Source organism: Homo sapiens, chromosome 2 (genome assembly GCF_000001405.40).
Source record: "Homo sapiens chromosome 2, GRCh38.p14 Primary Assembly".
Classification (NCBI taxonomy): Eukaryota; Metazoa; Chordata; class Mammalia; order Primates; family Hominidae; genus Homo; species Homo sapiens.
In genome coordinates, this window is record NC_000002.12 from 32,077,028 (window position 1) to 32,104,503 (window position 27,476).

The 27,476-nt window shown below is 40.2% G+C and overlaps 1 protein-coding gene across 5 annotated transcripts in view; it reads left to right on the forward strand.

Moving 5' to 3' along the window:
* Positions 1–27,476, forward strand: part of SPAST (spastin) — a 94,082-nt gene that overhangs the window by 13,472 nt on the left and 53,134 nt on the right. For 2 of the 5 annotated variants that reach the window (NM_199436.2, NM_001377959.1), the window contains exons 2-3: positions 10,465–10,551; positions 12,495–12,578. In NM_199436.2, coding sequence (NP_955468.1) covers positions 10,465–10,551; positions 12,495–12,578 — 171 coding nt within the window. Of the gene's footprint in view, positions 1–10,464; positions 10,552–12,494; positions 12,579–21,768; positions 21,865–27,476 lie in introns of all 5 variants that reach the window. The other 3 variants (NM_014946.4, NM_001363823.2, NM_001363875.2) reach the window with 3 other exon arrangements.

Genomic DNA, 27,476 nt, shown 5'->3' on the forward strand with positions numbered 1-27,476 from the left:
ACCATGCCTGGCTAATTTTTGTATTTTTAGTAGAGATGGGGTTTCACCATCTTGGCCAGGCTGATCTCGAACTCTTGACCTCATGATCCACACACCTTGGCCTCCCAAAGTGCTGGGATTATAGGCGTGAGCCACCGCGCCCGGCTTTAATTGAGATTTTTAGATATCTATTACTCTGCTAATTTTGTCACTTGCAAGTTGCCATCAGAAAATTGTAGGAAAATGGATATATTTGTTCCTTGGAATGGTTTGTGTGAGAATACTTAAGGATTAAATAGATAAGTAAAACTGGTGGGCTTTATATAACATAGATGAGCAAATGTCAGGAACATACAACTGTGCACACAGTTCAGGAGAAGGAGGATTTAAGTTAATCAACAAATTTACTAAGTATAATAAAGATACTAAAAGTAGTGTTTCCATACCACTTTATTACTTAAAGTATCATCATATACCCTATTTTATATGATTTTTGCCACAAGTCAGAGTTAGGTAAAAGAAATACTTGCTTTTCAGGTAAGGAGTTTGACGCCCAGACAGATTAACTGACTTTTCCAAAATCATATTGCTATTAAATGGTGGAACAAGGACTTAAATCTTTGCCTTCTAACTCACATACTTGCAAACACATATCCTCTCACTCTACCCCAAGCTACCCATGTTTTGACCCTTCTTGTGGCAATCTGGGTCTCACTAATATTTGAAAGAAAACGTACAGTAGATAATTTGCAAGTTAATCTGTTACGCATATCTCTTACCTCTATTTAAAGATGAATATCAGCATTTCTGTTGTTTCTACAGTAACATACTAAAAAATAATGCAGTCCAGGTGCAGTGGCTCACACGTGTAATCCTAGCACTTTTGGAAGTTGAGGCAGGAGGATCACTTGAAGCCAGGAGTTCGAGACTAGCCTGGGTATGCAAGACCCCATTTCTGTTTTTTTTTTTTGTTTGTTTTGTTTTGTTTTGTTTTGTTTTTTTGAGACGGAGTCTCGCTCTGTCGCCCAGGCTGGAGTGCAGTGGCGGGATCTCGGCTCACTGCAAGCTCCGCCTCCCGGGTTCACGCCATTCTCCTGCCTCAGCCTCCCAAGTAGCTGGGACTACAGGCGCCCGCCACTACGCCCGGCTAATTTTTTGTATTTTTAGTAGAGACGGGGTTTCACCGTTTTAGCCGGGATGGTCTCGATCTCCTGACCTCGTGATCCCCATTTCTTTTTCACTGCAACCTTTGCCTCCCAGGTTCAAGTGATTGTCGTGCCTCAGCCTCCCAAGTAGCTTGGGATTACAGGCATGTGCCACCATGCCTGGCTAATTTTTGTATTTTTTGGTAGAGATGGAGTTTCTGGCCAAGCTGGCCAGGCTGGTCTCGAACGCCTAGCCTCAAGTGATCTACCCTCCTTAGCCTCCCAAAGTGCTGGGATTACAGGTGTGAGCCACTGTGCCCGGCCCCATTTCTACAACAATTAAAAAATATTAGCCCAGTGTAGTGGTGCATGTCTCTAGTCCCAGCTACTCAGAAGGCTGAAGTGAAAGGATTGCTTGAGCCCAGAATTTCAAGGCTACAGTGAGCTATGATAATGGCATTGCACTCCAGCTTGGGTGACAGAGTGAGACCCTGTCTCTAAAAAATGAAGTAAAATAGTGCACAAGTATAGAACTTGAAAATCTTCCTTAACCTTACCATAAGGGAAATGATTACTAATAAGTTTCTTAACTTTTTGTACTTACATAAACATAAATATTCATCAGAGAAAAAAATATGCAAAACAATTTGCAATCTTTTTCACTTACCATATTTTGGAATTTTTTTCATTTCAATATATTTGATCTTCCTTGTGTTTTTTCAGTTTGTTTGTTTTTGTCACCCAGGTTGGAGTGAAGTGGTAAGAACATGGCTTATTGCAGCCTCAATCTCCTGCTCCCATTCAGCCCCTCAAGTAGCTGGGACTACAGGTACATGTCACCACGCCCGGCTAATTTTTATTTTTATTTTGGTAGAGATGGGGTTTCACCATGTTGCCCAGGCTGATCTTGAATTCCTGGGCTCAAGTGACCCGCCCACCTCAGCCTCCCGAAGTGTTGAGAGAACAGGTGTGAACCACCATGCTCCACCTCTTAGTCTTTACAATCTGCAAAACCTCATAAGTGGCTAATAGAGGAATATAGTAAAGCAAAGGGGGATATCACTGATTAGAACTGTGTTTTTAGGCTGGGTGCGGTGGCTCACGCCTGTAATCGCAACATTTTGGGAGGCTAAGTGGGAGTATCACTTGAGCCCGGGAGTTCAAGACCAGCCTGGGCAATATAGTGAGAGACCCTGTCTTTAGAAAAAAATTAACCAGGTGTGGTGGTGCACACCTGTGGTCCCAGCTATTCAAGAGGCTGAGGTGGGAGAATCGCTTAAGCCTAGGAGGCGGAGGTTGCAGTGAGATCATACCACTGCTCTCTAGCATGGGTGACAGAGCGAGACCCAGTCTAAAAAAAAAAGTATTTTTTCGTTTTTTTCCAACTCATGTACACCCGCCACCCCACCCCTGCTTTTTTTTTTTCTGACATTGGGTCTTGCTCTGTCACCCAGGCTAGAGTGCAGTAGCACAATCAACTCACTGCAGCCTCCTCTTCCTGGACTCAAGCAGTCCTACCACCTCAGCCTCCCAAGTAGCTGGGACCACAGGTGTGCACCATCATGCCTGGCTAATTTTTGTACTTTTTGTAGAGATAGGGTTTCACCATGTGGTTCACCATCTCTAACTCCTGGGCTCAGTCAGTCCACTTTTGCCTCGGCATGAGCCACTGTGTGCAGCCCACGTTTTTTATTAATGGATATTTGGATTGTTTCCATCTATTGTGAATAATGTGGCTATGAACATTGGTCTAAATATCTGTTTAAGTCCCGGCTTTCAATACTTTTGGATATATACCTAGGAGTAGAATTACTGAATTATATGGTAACTTTCTGTTTAAATTTTTGAACTGCCAACCTGTTTTCCATAGGGGCTGCACCATTTTGCATTCCCACCAGCAGTGTACAAGGGTTCCAGTTTCTCCACATTTGTTATTTTTCATTTTTTAAAATAATAGTCATCCTAAAGGGTATGAAGTGGTATCTCGTTGTGATTTTGATTTGCATGTATTTTTCTAATGACTTATGATGCTCAGCATTTTGTCATGTACTTATGTACCATTTGTGTATCTTCTTTGGAAAAATGTCTATTAATGTTCTTTTCCCATTTTTTAATTGGGTTGTTTTTATGTTTATCAATTTTGTAAACATTTTAAGCTCTGCAGCATAACTACTCAACCCTGTCACATGGTAAGATTGACCCAGTAAAACTTTATGTACAAAAATAGGCAGCTTACTAGATTTAATCTTAGTCCATAGTTTGCTAAGGCATGCATTAGATAATGTAGTTACACTATTGGCTAATAATTTAAACTACAAGTGGTTGTAAGTTTCTGCCACCCAAATTCTTTCTTGATTTGATGTAGTCTGGTTGGTTGAATTTGAGTGTTATATGGGGTCATAGAGTTAAAAGAGAAATGTCTATGAGAAACTAGGGACTGTTGGGAGCTAATGTTAAAGGATTTTGGAGGCCTTTTGTGCACTGGAGACCATTGGAAGATTGGATTTTCTGCTATAAATGTATCTAAAGGATAATCAGTGTAAGTTATGGGCTGTAGTTTGCCAACCCCTACATTAAGGGATTGAAATAATTTGAATATGGGTTTCAGTTCTTGTATGGTCTGGCTCAGTTCTTTTTTTTTTTTTTTTTTTTTTTTTTTTTGAGATGGAGTCTCACTCTGTTGCCCAAGCTGCAGTGCCATGGCACGATCTCAGCTCGCTGCAACCTCCGCCTCCTGGCTTCAAGTGATTCTCCTGCCTCAGCCTCCAGAGTAGCTAGGACTACAGGCACGTGCCACCACATCTGGCTAATTTTTTTTTTTTTCAAGACAGAGTTTCGCTCTTGTCACCCAGCCTGGAGTGCAATGGCACGATCTTGGCTCACCGCAGCCTCCGCCTCCTGGGTTCAAGTGATTCTCCTGCCTCAGCCTCCCAAATAGCTGAGGCAACAGGCGTGCGCCACCACGCCTAGCTAATTTTTCTGTTTTTAGTAGAGATGGGGTTTCACCATCTTGGCCAGGCTGGTCTCGAACTCCTGATCTCATGATCCACCCGCCTCAGCCTCCCAAAGTGCTGGGATTACAGGCGTGAGCCACCTCACCTGGCGTTTTTTTGTGTGTGTTTTCAGTAGAGATGGGGCTTCACTGTATTAGCCAGAATGGTCTTGATCTCCTGACCTCGTGATTCACCTGCCTCAGCCTCCCAAAGTGCTGGAATTATAGGCATGAGCCACCACGCCTGGCTGTGGCTCAGTTCTTAACTGTTCATTCATTCAGGGTCCCAGCCAAAATCTTTTGCCACAGCTTCTCCTGGGCATGCTCTGAAATTCATTTTTTGTCTGTTTAGTTGCATGAGTCCACTGAAAGCTTTGCTTATTTTCTCCACCACTTTCAGAGTTCACAGTCACTTCAAGTAGACGAGGTCAGGAGATCGAGACCATCCTGGCCAACATGGTGAAACCCCGTCTCTACTAAAAATACAAAACTTAGCTGGGCGTGGTAGCGTGTGCCTGTAGTCCCAGCTACTCAGGAGGCTGAGGCAGGAAAATTGCTTGAACCCGAGAGGCAGAGGTTGCAGTAAGCCGAGATCATACCATTTCACTCCAGCCTGGGCGACAGAGTGAGACACTGTCAAAAAAAAAAAAAAAAAAAAAAAGGAAAGAAAAGTGCTCCAAATGCTGGGCTCATCTCTGCTGGCTTCTCTCCTTTTTATATTTCGATAATTTTTAAAATAATAACCATCCTAATGGGCTTGATATGGTCCCTCCTTTCTAAATTTTGGTAATTTTCATTGTTTTGGAAACTCACTAATCCCTTCAAACAGATGTTTTTAAAACTTTTTTTCTAGTTCTCTCTCTTTTTTTTTTTTTTTTTTTTTTTGAGACAGGGTCTCTCTCAGTGGTGCGACCTCCCTTACTGCAACCTCTCCCTCCTGGGTTCAAGCAGCGATTCTCCTGCCTCAGCCTCCCAAATAGCTGGGAGTACAGGCACCCACCCCCACGCCCAGCTAATGTTTGTATTTTTAGTAGAGATTGGGTTTCATCATGTTGGCCAGGCTGGTCTCGAACTCCTGACCCCAGGTGATCCGCCTGCCTCAGCCTTCCAAAGTGCTGGGATTACAGCCATGAGCCACCGCACCTGGCTCTAGTTCTCTTCTAATCTTACTATAGTAATCAAAATTTTAGTGCTGATGTTATAATCCAAGCCCAAATGGATATTCTTATACATTAAATGTTGGAATATCATGTTTGTTAAAAATCAGATCTGCTGGGCACGGTGGCTCAATGCCTGTTATCCCAGCACTTTGGGAGGCCGAGGCAGGTGGATCCCCTGAGATCAGGAGTTCGAGACCAGCCTGACCAACATGGAGAAACTCCGTCTCTACTAAAAATACAAAATTAGCCGGGCGTGGTGGCACGTGCCTTTCATCCCAGCTACTTGGGAGGCTGAGGCAGAAGAATTGCTTGAACCTGTGAGGCGGAGGTTCCAGGGAGCTGAGATCGTGCCATTGTACTCCAGCCTGGGCAACAAGAGCGAAATTCCATCTCAAAAAAAAAAAATCAGATCTGTCCCTATGGTTTTATCTTCACTGCATGTCATATATAAATGGAAGCATGTAGTATGTAGCCTTTTGTGTCTCGCTTCTCTCCCTTTGCATAATATTTTTGAGATTTATCCCTTTTCCTACATATGTCAGTAGTTTGTTTCTTTTTAATGCTGAATAGTATTCCACGTGTGGAGATACCACAATTTGTTACTCCATTCACTAAATGATTTGGGTTGTTTCCTGTTTTTGTTATTGTTGTTGTTGTTGTTTAATTAATTAATTAATTTTTTTTTTGAGATGGAGTCTTGCTCTGTTGCCCAGGCTAGAGTGCAGTGGCGCAATCACAGCTCACTGCAACCTCTGCCTCCCCGGTTCAAGTGATTCTCCTGCCTCAGCCTCCCAAGTAGCTGTGATTACAGGTGCCCGCCACCACAACCAGCTAATTTTTGTATTTTTAGTAGAGATGGGATTTCACCATGTTGGCCAGGCTGGTCTTGAACTCTTCCCTCCTTGGTCTCCCAAAATGCTGGGATTACAGGTGTGAGCCACCATGCCCATCCTCCTGTTTTTAAATTTTATGAATAAAGGTACTGTAAATTCATGTACAGGTCTTAGAAGTTTGCATTTTTCTTGGGTAAATATGTAGAAGAAGAGATTGTTGACTCATGTGGTAAATATATGTTTAATGTCATAAGAAACTACCAAACTGTTTTTCCAACTGGGTGCCATTTTGTTTCCTACCAGCAAACATAATGAAAGGTCCATTACCCTTTGTCTCGTAATATTTTGGTATTTTTATGTTCTTTTGTTTTTTTGCCATTCAAAATTGGGTGCATTGTTGTATCTTTGGATTTTAATTTGTACTTCCCTAACAACTAATGATGTGGAGCATCTTTTTATACGCTTACTTGCCAATTATGTCTTAATTCTTTGGCAATACTTATATTTGACTCTGCCTACTATATATATATATATATATATTTTTATGCTATATATAGAGTATATATATTTTTATACTATATATATTTATATATACTATATATATTTATATATACTATATATATATATATATATATATATATTTTTTTTTTTTTTTGAGATGAAGTCATGCTCTGTTGACCAGGCTGGATGCAGTGGCATGATCTTGGCTTACCGCAACCTCAACCTCTGCCTCCCAGGTTCAAGTGATTCTCCTGCCTCAGCTTCCTGAGTAGCTGGGACTACAGACACATGCCACCATGCCCGGCTAATTTTTGTATTTTTAGTAGAGGTGGAGTTTCGCCATGTTGTCCAGGCTGGTCTTCAACTCCTGACCTCAGGTGATCCACCCGCTTCAGCCTCCCAAAAGTGCTGGGATTACAGGCATGACCCACCGTGCCCAGCTGGAATAAGCAATCTTAAAAAGCAGTTTGTTGATTTCTGGTGAATAGAGAAAATGTGACAAACTATGACTCAATAGTTTCATTTCTTTTTTGTTTGTTTGTTTGTTTTTTTGAGACAGAGTCTTGCTCTGTCACCCAGGCTGGCGTGCAGTGGCTCACTGCAAGCTCTGCTTCCTGGGTTCACGCCATTCTCCTGCCTCAGCCTCCGGAGTAGCTGGGACTACAGGCGCCCGCCACCATGCCTGGCTAATTTGTTTTTTGTATTTTTAGTAGAGACAGGGTTTCACTGTGTTAGCCAGGATGGTCTCGATCTCCTGACCTCGTGATCCACCCGTCTCGGCCTCCCAAAGTGCTGGGATTACAGGCATGAGCCACCGCCCCTGGCCTACTTTTATTTCTTAAGCATATATCTTAAAGAAACTGCAGGTATGCATTAGGGGACAGGTAGAAAAATGTTACAGCATTGTTTGAAATGTTGAAAAACTGGAAACAACCTCAATATCTTAATAATAGAAAAAATGGTTGAGGCTGGCTGTGGTGGTTCATGCCTGTAATCCTAGCACTTTTGGAGGCTGAGGCGGGCGGATCACCTGAGGTCGGGAGTTTGAGTCCAGCCTGGCCAACATGGTGAAACCCCGTCTCTACTAAAAATACAAAAAATTAGGCAGGTGTGGTGGTGCACACCTGTAATCCCAGCTACTTGGGAGGCTGAGGCACAAGAATCACTTGAGCCTGGGAAATGGAGGTTGTAGTGAGCCGAGATCATGCCTACTGCACTCCAGCCTGGGCAATAGAGTGAGACTCCGTCTCAAAAAAAAAAAAAAAAAAAAAAAGGGAAGGAGCATGGGAATGGGAAGAGGCACTAAAAAAGGAACTTCTTTTGTATCTGTTACATTGTACTCATTTTGTTTTTAAAATTTTAAGCCAAATATGACATTGTTATCACTTTTGTTGCCACTCAGAATACAAGTGCTATTACACTATTTTCTATAATTTTCCCTTTTTCAAACTAAAAAACAAAAATACATGTAAACAGGTGTTTTCTTTATGGAAAACAGGAAGGTGAGCATCCAAATAATTTTAGTTAATTTATAACAAACTCTTAATAATTTCTTTTTCTTCTTCTTCTTTTTTTTTTTTTTTTTTTGAGTCAGGGTCTTGCTCTTTTGCTCAGGTTAGAGTGCAATGGTACAATCTGGTACAATCACATCTTAGTGCAACTTCTACCTCTTCAGCTCAAGTGACCTCTCTCCTCAGTCCCCCAAGTAGATGGGACCACAGATGTGTATCCCCAATCATGGTTAATTTTTAAATTTTTTGGTAGAGATAAAATCTCACCATGTTGCCCAAGCTGGGCTTGAGCTCCTGGGCTCAAGCAGTCCTCCTGCCTTGGCCTCCCAAAGTGCTGGGATTATAGGCGTGAGCAAACTGTGCCCAGTCTTCATAAACTTTTCTTTACATGTCCTTATCAAGTACTTTTTGAGCACCTACTGTCAACCAGCCGTAGTATATAATACTGATAATTCTATAACATAAGAAATTGACCTGTTTAAGGGGATGAATATGGTTAGTTATTTTCAGGGTGAAGAAACAGAAGAATCGGGGAGGTAGTACATAGTCATAAGGAGACGGCATTTCTTAGTCACTTTGTGTGGTGTTTATAATAAGACTTCATGTGGCCAGGTGCGGTGGCTCGTGAGCGCCTGTAATCCCAGCACTTTGGGAGGCCGAGGTGGGAGGATCACAACAAGGTCAGGAGATCGAGACTATCCTGAACAACATGGTGAAACCCCGTCTCTACTAAAAATACAAAAATTAGCTGGGTGTGGTGGCACGTGCCTGTAACCCCAGCTACTCGGGAGGCTGAGGCAGGAGAATCGCTTGAACCAGGGAGTCGGAGGTTGCAGTGAACCAAGATCGTGCCACTGCACTGCAGCCTGGGCTACAGAGAGAGACTCCATCTAAATAAATAAATAAATAAATAAATAAATAGACTTCGTCTGTTTCATCAAGAGTCATTGTATTATATTGATTTTGAAATTTCAAATAATAATAAGGAATAGTATGGAAATTTTTGTTTGATTAAATGGGGACATGAGGCCAGGTGTGGTCACTCAGGCTTGTAATCCCAGCACTTCGGGAGACCAGGGCAGGAGGATTACTTGAGCCTAGGAGTTCAAGACCAGCCTGGGCAACATGGCAAGACCCTATCTCTACAAAAGAAATACACAAAAATTAGCTAAGTGTGGTGGCACATGCCTGTAGTCTTAGCTACTCGGGAGGCCAAGGGAAGAGGATGGATCACTTGAGCCCAGGAGTTGGAGGGTGCAGTGAGCTAGGATTGTGCCCCTGCACTCTAGTGTGGGTGACAGCAAGACTCTGTTTAAAAAAAAAAAAAAATGAGGCCGGGCGCGGTGGCTCACCTCTGTAATCTGAGCACTTTGAGAGGCCAAGGCGGGTGGATCACCTGAGTTCAAGATCAGCCTGGCCAACATGGTGAAAACCCCGTCTTTATACTTAAATTACAAAGATTAGCTGGGTGTGATGGTGCACACCTGTAACCCCAGCTACTCCAGAGGCTGAGACAGCAGAATCGCTTGAACCCGGGAGGGGGAGGTTGCAATGAGCCGAGATTGCACCACTGCACTCCAGCCTAGGTGACAGAGCAAGACTCTGTCTCAAAAAAAAAAGAAAAAAAGTCTAAGAAGTTAATTTTCATTCAGACAAATGTTCAAAAATAATAGAAATAAAACAAAAAATTAATTTTCAAATATGTGATTTGAGTATAACGATCACTTTACAGAAGTTATTCTACATACTTTTTGATTATGCTGAGTTTTTAGGTCCTTTTAAAGCTTAACTTGTATCAGGAATTAATGTTTTAAACTAGTTGTTGGGTTCAAAGAAAATAGAAATGTGTTATTAAATGCCACACTTGTAATCTCATACAGCAGTTCTCATGATGCAATCAATTGTTAAATAAAAACTTCCTCTAGAGAGGAGGTACCCAGCAATGAACACATTATATCAGATTTGAATATGAGATTAAACAATGCTTTTTGTTTCATTGTTATTGAAATCATATTTGTATTTTTCAAAAGTATATATACTTAAAAATTCCTAAATAAAATGTCTTTCTGTAATACAGCATTTTAGGTTATAAGGATCAATACCATGGGCTGATAAGCAAAATAGGACTCACGGCCCCAAAATGTTGATAAACATCATGACCATATTCCCCATAATGGAGTTACATATACACATTACAATGATAAAAATACTAAGAAGTTATATAGTAATGTTTCTCAGACTTGTTCACAACCCTGTTTTTTATGTATTACCTCTCAACAGCATGATTTGCAATATTTAGTGTACTCTTCATACGATCTATACAAATAATTTTTTATTTTAAAGCAGGACAGAAGGAGCAAGCTGTGGAATGGTATAAGAAAGGTATTGAAGAACTGGAAAAAGGAATAGCTGTTATAGTTACAGGACAAGGTAAGATTGTATTTGTTTATAGCCATCCCAAATTATGATATATTCACATGATTGTCCAGATTTCAGATCTATTTATTTATTTATTTATTTTTCTTTCTTTCTTTTCTTTTCTTTTCTTTTTTTTTTTTTTTTTTGAGACAGGGTCTTTCCTCTGTTACCCAGGCTGGAGTGCAGTGATGTGATCATAGCTCACTGCAACCTCAAACTTCTGGGCTCAAGTGATCCTCCTGCCTCTGCTTCCCATGTAGCTGGGACCACAGGCGCACACTACCATACTTAGCTAATTATTATTATTATTATTATTATTATTATTACTAGTTTTTGAGACAGAGTCTCGCTCTTTTGCCCAGGCTGTAGTGCAATGGTGCAATCTCGGCTCACTGCAATCTCCGCCTCCCGGATTCAGGCTATTTATTCTCCTGCCTGAGACTCCTGAGTAGCTGGGATTACAGGTGCATGCCACCGTGCCCAGCTAATTTTTGTATTTTTAGTGAAGATGGGGTTTTGCCACGTTGGCCAGGCTGGTTTCGAACTCCTGATCTCAAGTGATCTGCCCACCTCAGCCTCCCAAAGTGGTGGGAGTACAGGCATGAGCCACTGTGGGCCACACTTAGCTAATTAAAAAAAATTTTTTTGTAGAGACAGGGTCTCACTGTGTTTCTGTGACTGATCTTAAACTTCTGGCCTCAAGTGATCCTCCTGCCTCAGCTTTCCAAAGTTGTGGGATTACAGGCATGAGCCACTGTACCCAGCCAGATTGTATTTATCTTAATAAATGTATTTGGGCCAGGCACAGTGGCTCATGCCTGTAATCCCAGCACTTTGGGAGGCCGAGGTGGGCGAATCACCTGGGATCAGGAGTTCGAGACCAGCCTGATCAACATGGAGAAACCCTGTCTCTACTAAAAATTCAAAATTAGCCAGGCGTGGTGTCGCGCACCTGTAATTGCAGCTACTTGGGAGGCTGAGGCAGGAGAATTGCTTGGACCCAGGAGGCGGAGGTTGTGGTAAGCCAAGATCGCGCCATTGCACTCCAGCCTGGGCAACAAGAGTGAAACTCTGTCTCAGAAAGAAAGAAAAGCAAAACAGTATTTCATTTAATTAAAAATGCCTTGTATTATACCAGTAAGAGTAAAAAACAATTTAATTAAAGTATGATATATGCTCTTTTCATCACTTAGAATTTGAATTTTAATCTTATTGAAGAGGCTGTTTTAGTTTTATTTAGATATGGTTATAACAACAATATTAATATCTGTGACCAAATTGGTGCATGCATGGGCAATGAAAAGCTATGTTGTGACTGCAGCATGGTGGATAGCATTAGTAAGTTAGCATTGGTTGTAAAATGAATCCCAATTTCAAAGATTTTGAAACGTGGGGAAAAAATATTTTAGACCCCATGAAATAAGACCTGAAATCTATGAAATACCACAGTAGGTTGGAAATCATCATGAGAAACTGTAACTATTTTTTTTTATAGGTATTATATGTATTCTTTGAGACAGGGTCTCACCCTGTTGCCCAGGCTGGAATGCTGTGATGTGGTCACCTCTCACTGCAACATCCACTTCCTGGGGCTGAAGTGATCCTTGCAACTCACCCTCCCATGCTCGGCTAATTTTTTTTTTTTTTTTTTTAAGTAGAGACCAGATCTCTTTATGTTGCCCAGGCTGGTCTTGAACTCCTGGGCTCAAGTGATTCTGCTTTGTCTGCCCAGAGTGCTGGGATTACAGAAGTGAGCCACAACACCTGGCCTAAAGATAGTATTTTTAAAATTTCTTCTGTTTTCTTTCTTTTGGGTATACATTTTCTTCTTTTTTTTAAAAAAAAATTTCTGTATAAAGACTGTGACTCCCCATGAAAGTAGTTTGGGTGATAATTTATCGTGAAACAATATTAGTTGGGAAATGTAGATATTTTAATTAATTTTTTTCTTTCAGGTGAACAGTGTGAAAGAGCTAGACGCCTTCAAGCTAAAATGATGACTAATTTGGTTATGGCCAAGGACCGCTTACAACTTCTAGGTATCAATTAATGTATAATTTGATGTGGGATGTATTGGAAATGTGTGTTCAATGAAACTTTAATTTGTAGAAAGAAATAGATCAGTGATTGAAAATGTGGTCCAGGCTTTTTAACATAAAGAAAACGTATAACATATACAAAAACAGAAGAGCATAATGGACTTCTTTTTTTTTTTGAGATGGACGCTTGCTCTGTCACCCAGGCTGGAGTGCAGTGGCGTGATCTTGGCTCACTGCAAGCTCTACCTCCCAGGTTCACGCCATTCTCCTGCCTCAGCCTCCTGAGTAGCTGGGACTACAGGCACCCGCCACCACGCCCCGCTAATTTTTTTGTAGTTTTAGTAGAGACAGGGTTTCACCATGTTAGCCAGAATGGTGTCCATCTCCTGACCTCGTGATCCACCCGCCTCGGCCTCCCGAAGTGCTGGAGTTACAGGCGTGAGCCAACGCGCCCAGCCGAGCATAATGAACTTCTAATTATTCTTCTCTCAGCTTTGATAATTATCACCTCACTATCAGTCTTGATTTATTTATACCAAGGGCTAGCAAACTGCAGCTGATGGGCCAACCCAGCTCACTGCCTATTACTATAAATAAGGTTTTATTGGCACACAGCCATTCCTTTCCTTTAGGTATTGTCTATGGCTTTCATGCTACGGTGACAGAATTGAATAGTTGATACAGAGACAACACTGCCCTCAAAACCTAACATATTTACTGTCTGGCCCTGAGAAAGCCTGCCATCTTCACTTGACATCCCACTTCACTGTCCCCCAACTTCTTATTATTTTGAAACAAATTATTGACTTATTTTCCATTTATAAATATTTCATATTATACCTCTAAAAGATAAGGATGTCAAAATAAAATCACAGAAATACCATTATCACACCTAAAAAATAACTCCAAATTTCTTTTAACATTATCCAAAAAAACTGACCCCCCCAAAATGCAATTTCCAAATTTCTAATTTTCTCAAAATTTAATAATTTTTACTATTTTTTAATAATTTGTTTGTATCAGGATCTTAAAAAGATCCGTATGTCTCTTTTAATGTACAGGTTCATCTGTTTTTCATTTTCTTCCAATTTATTTGTTGATGAAACCAGGTCTTTGTCATGTAATATTTCCTACAGTCTGACTTTTGCTGCATGCATCTTTTGTGGTATGTTTTAACATGTTCTTCTTTCCTCCCACGTTAAATGATAGTTGGATATAGAGCCTTGATCACATTGAAAGTTGATTTTTATTTTTTAATGATTAGACTACTTCCTAGGTGGTTGTGTTTGTGTGTTCATCATTAGTTGTTCCATCTTGTGAGGTTAGCAGCAGTTAACTATGACTGATGTCCAGTGATACTTTAATTCTGTCATTCTTTCAGCATTCATCAACTGTAATAGAAACTTTTACTTGTCTTCTGTTTGATGGCGTAGGTTTTAAATATATATTAATAAGTTAAATCTACCACTCAAAAAAAGTAGAACAAAACCTACTACATATGAGTGGCTCTACCATACGTTGGTGGATGGAAATAGTAGATATTTGGTAAGCAGGTAAACCTTATTTATTTGTAGCCCTGTGACTTGGGGTAAGTTATTTTGCATGTCTGGGTCTTTTTTATCTAATTTGTAATATGAAGCTATTATTATTATTATTATTATTATTATTATTATTATTATTATTATTATTATTCGAGATGGAGTCTTGCTTTGTTGCCCAGGCTGGAGTGCAGTGGTGCAATCTCGGCTCAATGCACCCTCCACCTCCTGGGTTCAAACTATTCTCGTGATTCAGTCTCCCGAGTAGCTAGGATTACAGGGGCCTACCACCACACCTAATTTTTGTATTTTTAGTAGGGACGGGGTTTCACCATGTTGGCCAGGCTGGTCTCAAACTCCTGACATCAAGTGATCCATCCACCTCAGCCTCCCAAAGTGCTGGGATAGGCCGGGCACGGTGGCTAACGCCTGTAATCCCAGCACTTTGGGAGGCCGAGGCGGGTGGATCACGAGGTCAGGAGATTGAGACCATCCTGGCTAACACGGTGAAACCCCGTCTCTAGTAAAAAAATACAAAAAACTAGCCAGGTGTGGTGGCGGGCACCTGTAGTCCCAGCTACTTGGGAGGCTGAGGCAGGAGAATGGCATGAACCCAGGAGGCGGAGCTTGCAGTGAGCCGAGATCATGCCACTGCACTCCAGGCTGGGCAAAAGAGCGAGACTCTGTCTCAAAAAAATAAAATAAAATAAATAGATAAATAATAATAATAAAGTGCTGGGATTACAGGCATGAGCCACCACGCCCAGCTGAAGCTAATATTATTAGCTAATAATAATATCTCATATTTTTGACCATTGAATTATTAAAGGAACCTAAACCATAGTAGTAAGTGCTTTAAAAATGTTGGTTTTTATTTATCTGTTTACCTGACTGTCATCACCTCCTTTGCTTAGGTAGAAAGATATATTCATAAACACATACATATACATTTTATTCATTCTTTAATTCATTTACTCCTATATGGTCATTGTGTTTGTGGGATTTTTGCCCGCACATAGTTAAAAATGCAGCCGTTACTGCTTTCAGATGAGTAACAAGGTAGTGTTCCCTGGCTTCTGTGGCTGACAGGATTTGCCTTCTTCCTTTCTAAATGGAGGTTATTACTGTGTCAGATATAATTAAATAGTGTATTAAAGTTTGTTGCAATAAAATAATTGATGGTTCTAATTGGTACTTTCTACGTGTTTTATCTTTAAAGCTTTTCAGTGTATATATAAAGTATATATCATACAGAATAAATTTGATTGTGGAGCATTTTGTAACATCTTTCAAAATTAATAAGAGTTGGTTTTTATGTTTTGTTTGATGTTATGATATAGGACATTAGAAGTATTAATATCAATTAGAGACTCATCTTTGAATGTGACTTTGTACTTTCTTATTTGTGTTAGTAGAGGAGAGAACAAAAAGAAGATATGTAATGTAATATGAAACTAGGCATTTAAAGATTTAACGTTTTGGATATTTTAAAGTTGGTGTCTGTTTTCACCCTCAAAAATGCTATTACCTATTTATGAAATATCTTTAAAAGTGTGGAGTGGTAGATGGGAAAGGTGACATCGGCTGGGCGCGGTGGCTCACACCTATAATCCCAGCACTTTGGGAGGCCAAGGTGGGCGGATCACCTGAGGTCAGGAGTTCACGACCAGTCTGGTAACATGGTGAAACCTAATCTCTACTAAAAATACAAAAAATTAGCCAGGCTGGTGGTACGCACCTGTAATCCCAGCTACTCAGGAGGCTGAGTCAGGAGGATGGCTTGAACCCAGAAAATGGAGGTTGCATTGAGCCAAGATGGCACCACTGCACTCCAGACTGGGTGACAGAGAGAGACTCCGTCTCAAAAAAAAAAAAACGCCGGGCACTGTGGCTCACACCTGTAATCCTAGCACTTTGGGAGACTGAGGCGAGCAGATCACTTGAGGTCAGGAGTTCGAGACCAGCTGGGTGCCTGGGCAACATAGTGAAACCCCGTCTCTACTAAAAATACAAAAAAATTAGCCGGGCGTAGTGGCGGGCGCCTGTAGTCCCAGCTACTTGGGAGGCTGAGGAAGGAGAATGGCGTGAACCCGGGAGGCGGAGCTTGCAGTGAGCCGAGATCCCGCCACTGCACTCCAGCCTGGGTGACAGAGCGAGACTCCGTCTCAAAAAAAAAAAAAAAAAAAAAAATAGCCGGGCATGGTGGCGGGCACCTCTAATCTCACCTACTTGGGAGGTTGAGGCATGAGAATTGCTCGAGCCTGGGAGGCAGAGGTTGCAGTAAGCAGAGACCACACCACTGCACTCTAGCCTGGATGACAGAGTGAGACTTTGTCTCAAAACAAAAACAAACAAACCAAACCACCTCTTGTCCACTCCTAATCTCCCTTACTGTGTTTCACTTATTTTTTTCCCATATATTTGTCACCTTCTAATAAACTGTGTAACTTATTTTTTATGTTTATTGTGTACTATCTGTCTTCTCCCTGTTGGAATATAAACTCTATGGAGGAGGGATCCTTGTCTATATCCCAAGTGCCTACAACAGTGTCTAGCACATGCTAGTTACCGAATAAATATTTGCCAAGTTAATGAAGTTGTTTATAACCCTTGGCACTATACCTGATACAGTGTAGGGACTTAATAAATGAATGTTAAATGAAGCTATCTTAAAAATATATATATATATATAACAGCCAGATACGCCAATTTGCCGACATCAAAATTAATCTTTTCATCTATTGCAGGTTTTACAGTTAAGCTTTGCTCTAAGGTTCACTATCACTAAACCAAAAATAAATAATATGGATGGTCTTTTCCCATTTTTAACAGAGAGGCTACATCCTCTCAAACCAGTCAGTATTAGGAATTCCCAGGATCATTCTCTCCATTTTCCATCCTAATTAGATACCTATCTGGCACCACATCTCTGAAAAGCTCCAATTTTTAACCAGCACATAATAAACAAATATGTTACTATTAATACACGTTTGTACACAAGTCATTTTTATTGTCTTAGGTATATCCACTCCCAGACCTTCTGAGTTATTGAAAGACAGGAATTTGTGATGTCACCTCTTTTTTCTTTTTTTTGAGACGGAGTCTTGCCTTATCACCCAGGCCAGAGTGCAATGGCGTGATCTCGGCTCACTGCAACCTCTGCCTCCCGGGTTCAAGCGATTATCCTGCCTCATCCTCCTGAGTAGCTGGGATTACAGGTGGCCCTAGTTTGGGTTTTTGGTTTTAAACAGGATGGTCTCCTCTTTGAGAAGTTGCCATGAGTTAGCCATGATGATACCTGGGACAATAATGGTCCACAGAGAAGTAAGAGCCAATACAACGCCTTAAGAGAAAGTACCTGGTATGTTTGTGAAGCAGCAAAGAGGCCAATGTGTTCCAGCAAGGAGATTATAGTAGAGATGAAGTCAGAGAACTCATGCGGAGAGGGATTGTCACAACACGCAGGGCTGTAAAGGCCACCATGAGGACTTGAGCTTTTACCGCCTGTGAAATGGGGAGCAGTTACAAAGATTTTTAAGAAAGCAGCCCAGTGCAGTGGCTCATGCCTATAATCCCAGCTCTTTGGGAGGCTGAGGTGGGTGGATCACCTGAGGTCAGGAGTTCGAGACCAGCCTGGCCAACATGGCGAAACCTTGTCTTTACTAAAAATAGAAAAATTAGCTGCGTGTGGTGGCCATGCTTGTAATCCCAAATACTCGGGAGGCTGAGGCAGAAGAATCACTTGAACCCGGGAGGCGGAGGTTGCAGTGAGCCGAGGTTGCGCCACTGCCCTCCAGCCTGGGCAACAAAGCGAGACTCCGTCTCAAAGCCAGAAAAAAAGATTTTTAGGAAAGGAATGAAATACTCTGACTTAAATTTTAGAAGGATCACTCTGGTTGCTATGTTGCATTATAGACTCTAAGGGTAGAACCAGGGAGAGCAATTAGGACACTGTTACAGTAATCTAGGAGAAAAGTGATAGAGGCTTGCACCAGGGTAGTATCAGGAGAAATGGTAACAAGTGGTTGGATTATGATTATAGTTGAAGGTCGAACAACTAGATTTGCTGATAGATTGGATAAAATGGTCCTCTCTTTATGGATCTCATAATACAGTAGGAGAAACAGACACATAAATAGTCATCACTGCAGGATGGGTATTAGAAATATTTTGCAAGGGTGTAAAAGGTGCTAAGAAAGCTTTCTTGTGTGACAAAGCTGGTTAAAGAAAGAAAAGAAAGCTTCCTAGAAGTGAAACCTAAAATATACACTTAGATAAATGAATAAAAGTTATGAAAGAATGTGAGGGCTGGGCACAGTGGCTCATACCTGTAATCCTAGCACTTTGGGAGGTTGAGTCGGGGGTATTGCTTGAGTCCAGGAGTTTGAAACCAGCCTGGACAGCGTACTGAGACCCCATGTCTAAATTTAAAAAAAAAAAAAATAGCCAGGAGTGGTGATGTGCACCTGTAGTCCTAGCTACTTACTTGGGAGGCTGAGGCAGGAGGATTGCTTGAGCTCAGGAGGTCGAGACTGCAGTGAGCCATGAGTACACCACTGCACTCTAGTCTGGGTGACAGAGTGAGACCCTGTCTCAAAGAAAATGAAAAGAAAAAGAATTTGAGAAAAGATATGTCAGGAAAATGTGATGACATGAACAAATACTCAAAGGCAAGAAAAGCATGGTGAGTAGGGGAGGGTACAGGTTGAGACATGAAGTTGGGATTGCCGAGGCGTAAGAGGTATAGGCAGATCATGGATGGCCTGGTTTGTCATAGGAAGGAGCTTGGGCTCTTATCTGTGGGCAATGGGAAGCCACTAAAGGGTTTTAAGTAGAAGAGTGTTATATGGTAAGGTTTTCCTCTCCAGTAGATCACTCAGATGACTGTGGGGGTTGGATGTGAGGAGGTAAAGCAGCAAAGTTACTGCTTTAATTTAAATCATTGATTAATCTGTACAATCCTAGTCATTCCAAAAAGAAACATTAGTCCTTTAACAGAAGTGAATTGGGTCTGGGCGCGGTGGCTCACGCCTGTAATCCCAGTACTTTGGGAGGCCGAGGCGGGCAGATCACCTGAGGTCAGGAGTTTGAGACAAGTCTGGCCAACATGGCAAAACCTTGTATCTACTAAAATTACAAAAATTAGCTGGGCATGGGGGCACCCACCTGTAATCCCAGCTATTCGGGAGGCTGAGGCAGGAGACTCTCTTGAACCCATAAGGCAGAGGTTGCAATGAGCTGAGGTCGCACCACTGCGCTCCAGCCTGGGCGACAGAGTGAGACTCCGTCTCCAAAAAAAAGAAAAAATATTGGAGCAGTTTCACAGATGCTGTTTACTGTTATACTGTATGTGTCTATGACTCCTCCTCCAAGAAAAAAAAAATGAATTGGAGCAGGTTCACAGAAGCAATGTACTGTTACACTGTATGTGTCTGTTTCTACACATATAAATCTGAATTCTGTGTACACGAAAAGAAATCCTATAGCTTTTTATTCCTAGCTATAAAAACTAAGAATATAATTTCTTTCTTTTTATTACATAATGAATGGTTCTGTTAACTTTTTGTTAAAATTTCATTGAGGGGAGTATTAATTCACATTTATGTACGGATGTCTACATTTACAAATCAGTGTATTTTTTGATTTATGCTTTTACTGAGACAAAGGGTTTCTGTCTCAGCATGGTCATTTAAAGAGTTTATCATTGAGAAAAATCAGATGACCAACCTGTTAGCTCAAAAAAAAAAAAACCTCCAAGGTATATTGTATCAGCCAGTTCTAGGATACAAAAGCCATGCAGTACTTTGTGTTTTGTGCCAAAAAGGGTAGCTGCTATTTGACCTGTCCCAAAGGCATGTGTGGTTGTACCGTAAACCAAGCATGGTACCTGTTTGTCAAACTTTAGAAATGAAAGTTTAAGAGAGTTAATATATAGGTGCTGCATTTTTTATGTATTCATTGACTTGCTGGTACAGAAGAAAAGAATCAATTATGATTCAGCACAATACTCCACTTGGGGAAGAGAGTGCAGCAGTAGTTTAGAGTGTCAGGGATCAAACTGCTACCTTCTTGGGCTTCAGTTGCTAGACTTAAGAGACCCAGATCTTGGGAGGGGTTTTTGTTGTTATTTGATGTGGGGGTAAGGTTGAAATACTCCCTTTTAATTGATTAATATAAAAAATAGGTAATGTAGACGTATGTCACAAAATTTTAACAAGTTTGAGTGTGAAAAGCATCCATCCCATTCTATGCCCTGGCTACCCATTTCCCCTCCCTAGAGGCGGCTGTTATTATCAGTTTCTCTGGGTCCTTTTTAGAGGTAATCTTTTTGTATGCAACTGTGCACATGTATGTTTACACAAATGGTAGGGTATTGTATATATATACAGTTACTGCAGTATGCTTATTTGACTTTGCTTTATTGCTTTTATTTTCTGCCTGACATATGTTAATGTGGCCAAATAGGGCATTTCCCAGACAATCCTTATAGTTTCATTCTGTGCTACTTTAAATGCTGTTCTCCTTCCCTGAAATGTCCTTTTTTTTTTTCTTTTCTTTTTTTTTTTTTGAGACAGAGTCTCGCTCTGTCACCCAGGCTGGAGTGCAGTGGCACAATCTCAGCTCACTGCAACCTCCACCTCCCCGGTTTAAGCCATTCCCCTGCCTCAGCTTCCCGAGTAGTTGGGACTACAGGCGCGTGCCACCACGCCCGGATACTTTTTTGTTTGTTTGTTTTAGTAGAGACAGGGTTTCACTGTGTTAGCCAGGATCGCCTCAATCTCCTGACCTCCTGATCTGCCTGCCTCAGCCTCCCAAAGTGCTGGGATTACAGACGTGAGCCACTGCGCCTGGCTGTCCTTTCTTTTAATCTTTTCAAATTCTAGCCAGTTCATAGCCCACTTGCTCTGTAAAGCTTTTTCAGTGATCTTTCTTTTGTACCATGCAGTCTTTTAAAAAATCTACAGTTTTATTATAAGTTGCTAATTATATTTAATAAATACCTAAATGGTAGAAATTGATTCATTTTTTAATCTCCGTAGTGCCAGGAACTGTGGCTCATGTCTGTAATCCCTGCACTTTGGGAGGCTAAGGCGGGAGGATCGCTTAAGGCCAGGAGCTTGAGCCCAGCCTGTGGAACATATTGAGACCCCGTCTCTACAAAAAATAAATTAGCTGGGCATAGTGGTGTCTGTATGTAGTGTCAACTACTCAGGAGACTGAGGCAGAAGGATAACTTGAGCTCAGGGAGTTGAGGCCACAGTGAGCCATGATGGTGCCACTGTACTTCAGCCTGGGTGACAGAGCAAGACCAAGACCGATAATTATCTCCATGGTATTTGTTTTGGACGTATTAGATATTCAGTAAATATTTTCTGGTGATGATAGTGATATCTAACTACCTCAGGTTACCTAACCTGAATAAGGCCTATTTTTAACATAGCCATTCACTTGTTAATTTCTGTTATTTTCGTGACTTCATTTTTACTAATTATATTTTAAAAGATAATTTTATATAAATGCAAAAACTTTTTATCATGTAACAATCTGGTAACACCTTGAGTAATTTGTCATTTCACATGCACATTTTATTTGTTCATTATCTTTTTTCTTTTTGTTTATTTTTTCTGTTTTTTACCTTCTCTGTTGCATAGAGAAGATGCAACCAGTTTTGCCATTTTCCAAGTCACAAACGGACGTCTATAATGACAGTACTAACTTGGCATGCCGCAATGGACATCTCCAGTCAGGTGGGTTTAGGTTAACTAACATAAAATAATAAAGCTTGCATGCAAAGTAAGAGTCTTACTTAACCTGATAATGTTGATTTGATTTTATAATGGTAGGTTTAATTGTTCATGTTTTCACAGGGCTGTGTTGAAAATATAGTACCTTTATCATCATAGTATATAAACATGCAACAAGTCAGGTATAGTCATTCTAAACTTGCTTTATTTGCATATTTTGCAACCTCTGGTTTTTCAGATTATAAAATATGAAGGTATACATTCCCGTAAGTGATTAAAATAATCTTTTTTTCTGTTGTGGCTTTTGTGTTTTTATATGGATAGCTATACTGATTTTTTTCATGAAATAGTGTTTTCTAAGACACATTTTAATTTTTTATGTATCAATTTTTATTGCATATCAATTTTCATTTATAGTATATGTGAATGTCTTATAGTACTTGATAGAAGAAATTTGAAACTTCACATAGTGAGGAGAAACATTACAGTATTATTTGCTATGGATTAACTCTATCCTTCATAAACTTTTGGATATCAACTTCTACAGAAGATTAAATGTCTTTCTGTTTTGTTTTCTTTGGGTAGGGGACTCTCCATTTCTTAGGTTCTCTGACATCTGAGCTAGCTTTTTGTTTAATTAAAACTTTTTTTTTAGTTGACAGATAATGTACCTGTTCATGGGGTACACAGTGATGTTTTGATACATATAGTATATGGTGATTAGATCAAGGTAATTATCATTTCCATCATCCCAAACATTTATCATTCCTTGTGTTGGAAACATTCAGTATTTTCCTTCTAGCATTTGAAATGATATAATATATTATATTGTTACCTATAATCATCCTGCAGTGATGTAGAACAATGGAGCTTACTCTTTCTATCTAGCTATACCTTTGTATCCTTTCCCTACCCTTTTCAGCCTCTAGTATCCTCTGTTCTACTTTTTATTTCTATGAGATTAACTTTTTAAAAATAATATTCTGTGTGTATATATACCACATTTTCTTTATTCATTCGTCTGTTCTTGGACACCTAGGTTGATTCTGTATCTTGGCTGTTGTGAATAGTGCTGCAGTAAACATGGGGTGTAGATGTCTGTTCGATATGATGATTTTCTTTCCTTTGGATAAATTCCCAATAGTGGGATTGGTGGGTCATATGGTAGTTCTGTTTGTAGTTTTTGAGGAACCTCCATACTCTTCTCCATAGTAGCTGTACTAGTTTAGATTCCCAAAAGTAGCGTATAAGAGTTCACTTTCTACACATCCTCACCAGCATTTGGTACTTTTTTTGTCTTTTTGATAATAGCCATCCTAACTGGGGTAAGATACCTTGTTGTGGTTTTGATTTGCATTTCCCTCATAATTAACGATGTTGAGCATTTTTTCATATCTTTGTTTTTGACGGTCCAGCTAGTTTTATTGGTTACTTTTTTTTTTTTTTTTTAGCAATAGTTTCATGTGCAGGGCTCAAATTATATTTAATATTACTTTTTTCAAATTATACCAGAACAACCTTAGGTTAGGCTATAAAACAACTGCCTTCTTTTTCTTTTGGCATAATAATTATATATATATTTTTAATTACACTTTACGTTCTAGGGTGCATGTGCACAACATGCAGGTTTGTTACATATGTATACAAGTGCCATGTTGGTGTGCCGCACCCATTAACTTGTCATTTACATTAGGTATATCTCCTAATGCTACCCCTCCCCTCTCCCCTCACCCCACGACAGGCCCCATTGTGTGATGTTCCCCACCCTGTGTCCAAGTGTTCTCATTGTTCAGTTCCCATCTGTGAGTGAGAACATACGGTGTTTGGTTTTCTGTCCTTGCGATAGTTTGCTCAGAATGATGGTTTCCAGCTTCATCCATGTCCCTACAAAGGACATGAACTCATCCTTTTTGATGGCTGCTTAGTATTCCATGGTGTATATGTGCCATATTTTCTTAGTCCAGTCTATCATTGATGGACATTTGCATTGATTCCAAGTCTTTGCTATTGTGAATAGTGCCACAGTAAACATACATGTGCATGTGTCTTTATAGCAGCATGATTTATAATCCTTTGGGTATATACCCAGTAATGGGATGGCTGGGTCAAATGGTATTTCTAGTTCTAGATCCTTGAGGAATCGCCACACTGTCTTCCACAATGGTTGAACTAGTTTACGTTCCCATCAACAGTGTAAAAGTGTTCCTGTTTCTCCACATCCTCTCCAGCACCTGTTGTTTCCTGAGTTTTTAATGATCGCCATTCTAACTGGTGTGAGACGGTATCTCATTGTGGTTTTGATTTGCATTTCTCTGATGGCCAGTGATGATGAGCATTTTTTCATGTGTCTTTTGGCTGCATAAATGTCTTCTTTTGAGAAGCATCTGTTCATATACTTTGCCCACTTTTTGATGGGGTTGTTTGATTTTTTTCTTGTAAATTTTTTTAAGTTCTTTGTAGATTCTGGATATCAGCCCTTTGTCAGATGGGTAGATTGCAAAAATTTTCTCCCATTCTATAGGTTGCCTGTTCACTCTGATGGTAGTTTCTTTTGCTGTGCAGAAACTCTTTAGTTTAATTAGATCCCATTTGTCAATTTTGGCTTTTGTTGCCATTGCTTTTGGTGTTTTAGGCATGAAGTCCTTGCCCATGCCAGTGCCCATGCCAGTGTCCTGAATGGTATTGCCTAGATTTTCTTCTAGGGTTTTTATAGTTTTAGAACTAACATTTAAGTCTTTAATCCATCTTGAATTAATTTTTGTATAAGGTGTAAGGAAGGGATCCAGTTTCAGCTTTGTACGTTTGGCTAGCCAGTTTTCCCAGCACCATTTATTAAATAGGAAATCCTTTCCCCATTTATTGTTTTTGTCAGGTTTGTCAAAGATCACATGGTTGTAGATGTGTGGTATTATTTCTGAGGGCTCTGTTCTGTTCCATTGGTCTATATCTCTGTTTTGGTATCAGTACCATGCTGTTTTGATTACTGTACCTTCGTAGTATAGTTTGAAGTCAGGTAGCACGATGCCTCCAGCTTTGTTCTTTTGGCTTAGGATTGTCTTGGCAATGCAGGCTCTTTTTTGGTTCCATATGAACTTTAAAGTAGTTTTTTCCAATTCTGTGAAGAAAGTCATTTGTAGCTTGATGGGGATGGCATTGAATCTATAAATTACCTTGGGCAGTGTGGCCATTTTCATGATATTGATTCTTCCTATCCATAAGCATGGAATGTTCTTCCATTTGTCTGTGTCCTCTTTTATTTCATTGAGCAGTGGTTTGTAGTTCTCCTTGAAGAGGTCCTTCACATCCCTTGTAAGTTGGATTCCTAGGTATTTTATTCTCTTTGAAGCAATTGTGAATGGGAGTTCACTCATGATTTGGCTGTTTGTCTGTTATTGGTGTATAGGAATGCTTGTGATTTTTGCACATTGATTTTGTATCCTGAGACTTTGCTGAAGTTGCTTATCAGCTTAAGGAGATTTTGGGCTGAGATGATGGGGTTTTCTAAATATACAATCATGTCATCTCCAAACAGGGACAATTTGACTTTCTTTTCCTAATTGGATACCCTTTATTTCTTTCTCCTGCCTGATTGCCCTGGCCAGAACTTCCAACACTATGTTGAACAGGAGTGGTGAGAGAGGGCATCCCTGTCTTGTGCTAGCTTTCAAAGGGAATGCTTCCAGTTTTTGCCCATTCAGTATGATATTGGCTGTGGGTTTGTCATAAATAGCTCTTATTATTTTGAGATACATCCCATCAATACCTAGTTTATTGAGAGTTTTTAGCATGAAGGGCTGTTGAATTTTGTCAAAGGCCTTTTCTGCATCTATTGAGATAATCATGTGGTTTTTGTCTTTGGTTCTGTTTATATGATGGATTACGTTTATTGATTTGCATATGTTGAACCAGCCTTGCATCCCAGGGATGAAGCCAACTTGATTGCGTTGGATAAGCTTTTTGATGTGCTGCTGGATTCGGTTTGCCAGTATTTTATTGAGGATTTTTGCGTTGATGTTCATCAGGGATATTGGTCTAAAATTCTCTTTGTTGTGTCTCTGCCAGGCTTTGGTATCAGGATGATGCTGGCCTCATAAAATGAGTTAGGGAGGATTCCCTCTTTTTCTATTGATTGGAATCATTTCAGAAGGAATGGTACCAGCTCCTCTTTGTACCTCTGGTAGAATTCAGCTGTGAATCCATCTGGTCCTGGACTTTTTTTGGTTAGTAGGCTATTAATTATTGCCTCAATTTCAGAGCCTGTTATTGGTCTATTCAGGGATTCAGCTTCTTCCTGGTTTAGCCTTGGGAGGCTGTATGTGTCCAGGGATTTATCCATTTCTTCTAGATTTTCTAGTTTATTTGAGTAGAGGTGTTTATAGTATTCTCTGATGGTAGTTTGCATTTCTGTGGAATCGGTGGTGATATCCCCTTTATCATTTCTTATTGCATCTATTTGATTCTTCTCTCTTTTCTTCTTTATTAGTCTTGGTAGCAGTCTATCAGTTTTGTTGATCTTTTCAAAAAACCAGCTCCTGGATTCATTGATTTTTTGAAAGGTTTTTTGTGTCTCTATCTCCTTCATTTCTGCTCTGATCTTAGTTATTTCTTGCCTTCTGCTAGCTTTTGAAGGTGTTTGCTCTTGCTTCTCTAGTTCTTTTAATGGTGATGTTAGGGTGTCAATTTTAGATCTTTCCTGTTTTCTCTTGTGGGCATTTAGTGCTATAAATTTCCCTCTACACACTACTTTAAATGTGTCCCAAAGATTCTGATATGTTGTGTCTTTGTTCTCGTTGGTTTCAAAGAACATCTTTATTTCTGCCTTCATTTTCTTATATACCCAGTAGTCATTCAGGAGCAGGTTGTTCAGTTTCCATGTAGTTGTGTGGTTTTGCGTGAGTTTCTTAATCCTGAGTTCTAGTTTGATTGCACTGTGGCCTGAGAGACAGTTTGTTGTAATTTCTGTTCTTTTACATTTGCTGAGGAGTGCTTTAGTTCCAACTATGTGGTCAATTTTGGAATAGGTGTGGTGTGGTGCTGAGAAGAATGTATATTCTGTTGATTTGGGGTTTAGAGTTCTGTAGATGTCTATTAGGTCCACTTGGTGCAGAGCTGAGTTCAGTTCCTGGATCTGTCTTGTTGATCTGTCTAATATTGACAGTGGGGTGTTGAAGTCTCCCAGTATTATTGTGTGGGAGTCTAAGTCTCTTTGTAGGTCTCTAGGGACTTGCTTTATGAATCTGGGTGCTCCTGTATTGGGTGCATATATATTTAGGATAGTTAGCTCTTCTTGTTGAATTGATCCCTTTAGCATTATATGATGGCCTTCTTTGTCTCTTTTGATCTTTGTTGGTTTAAAGTCTGTTTTATCAGAGAGTTGGATTGCAAACCCTGCTTTTTTTGTTTTCCATTTGCTTGGTAGATCTTCCTCCATCCCTTTATTTTGAGCCTATGTGTGTCTCTGCACGTGAGATGGGTTTCCTGAATACAGCACACTGATGGGTCTTGACTCGTTATCCAATTTGCCAGTCTGTGTCTTTTAATTGGAGCATTTAGCCCATTTCCATTTAAGGTTAATATTGTTATGTTTGAATTTGATCCTGTCATTATGATGTTAG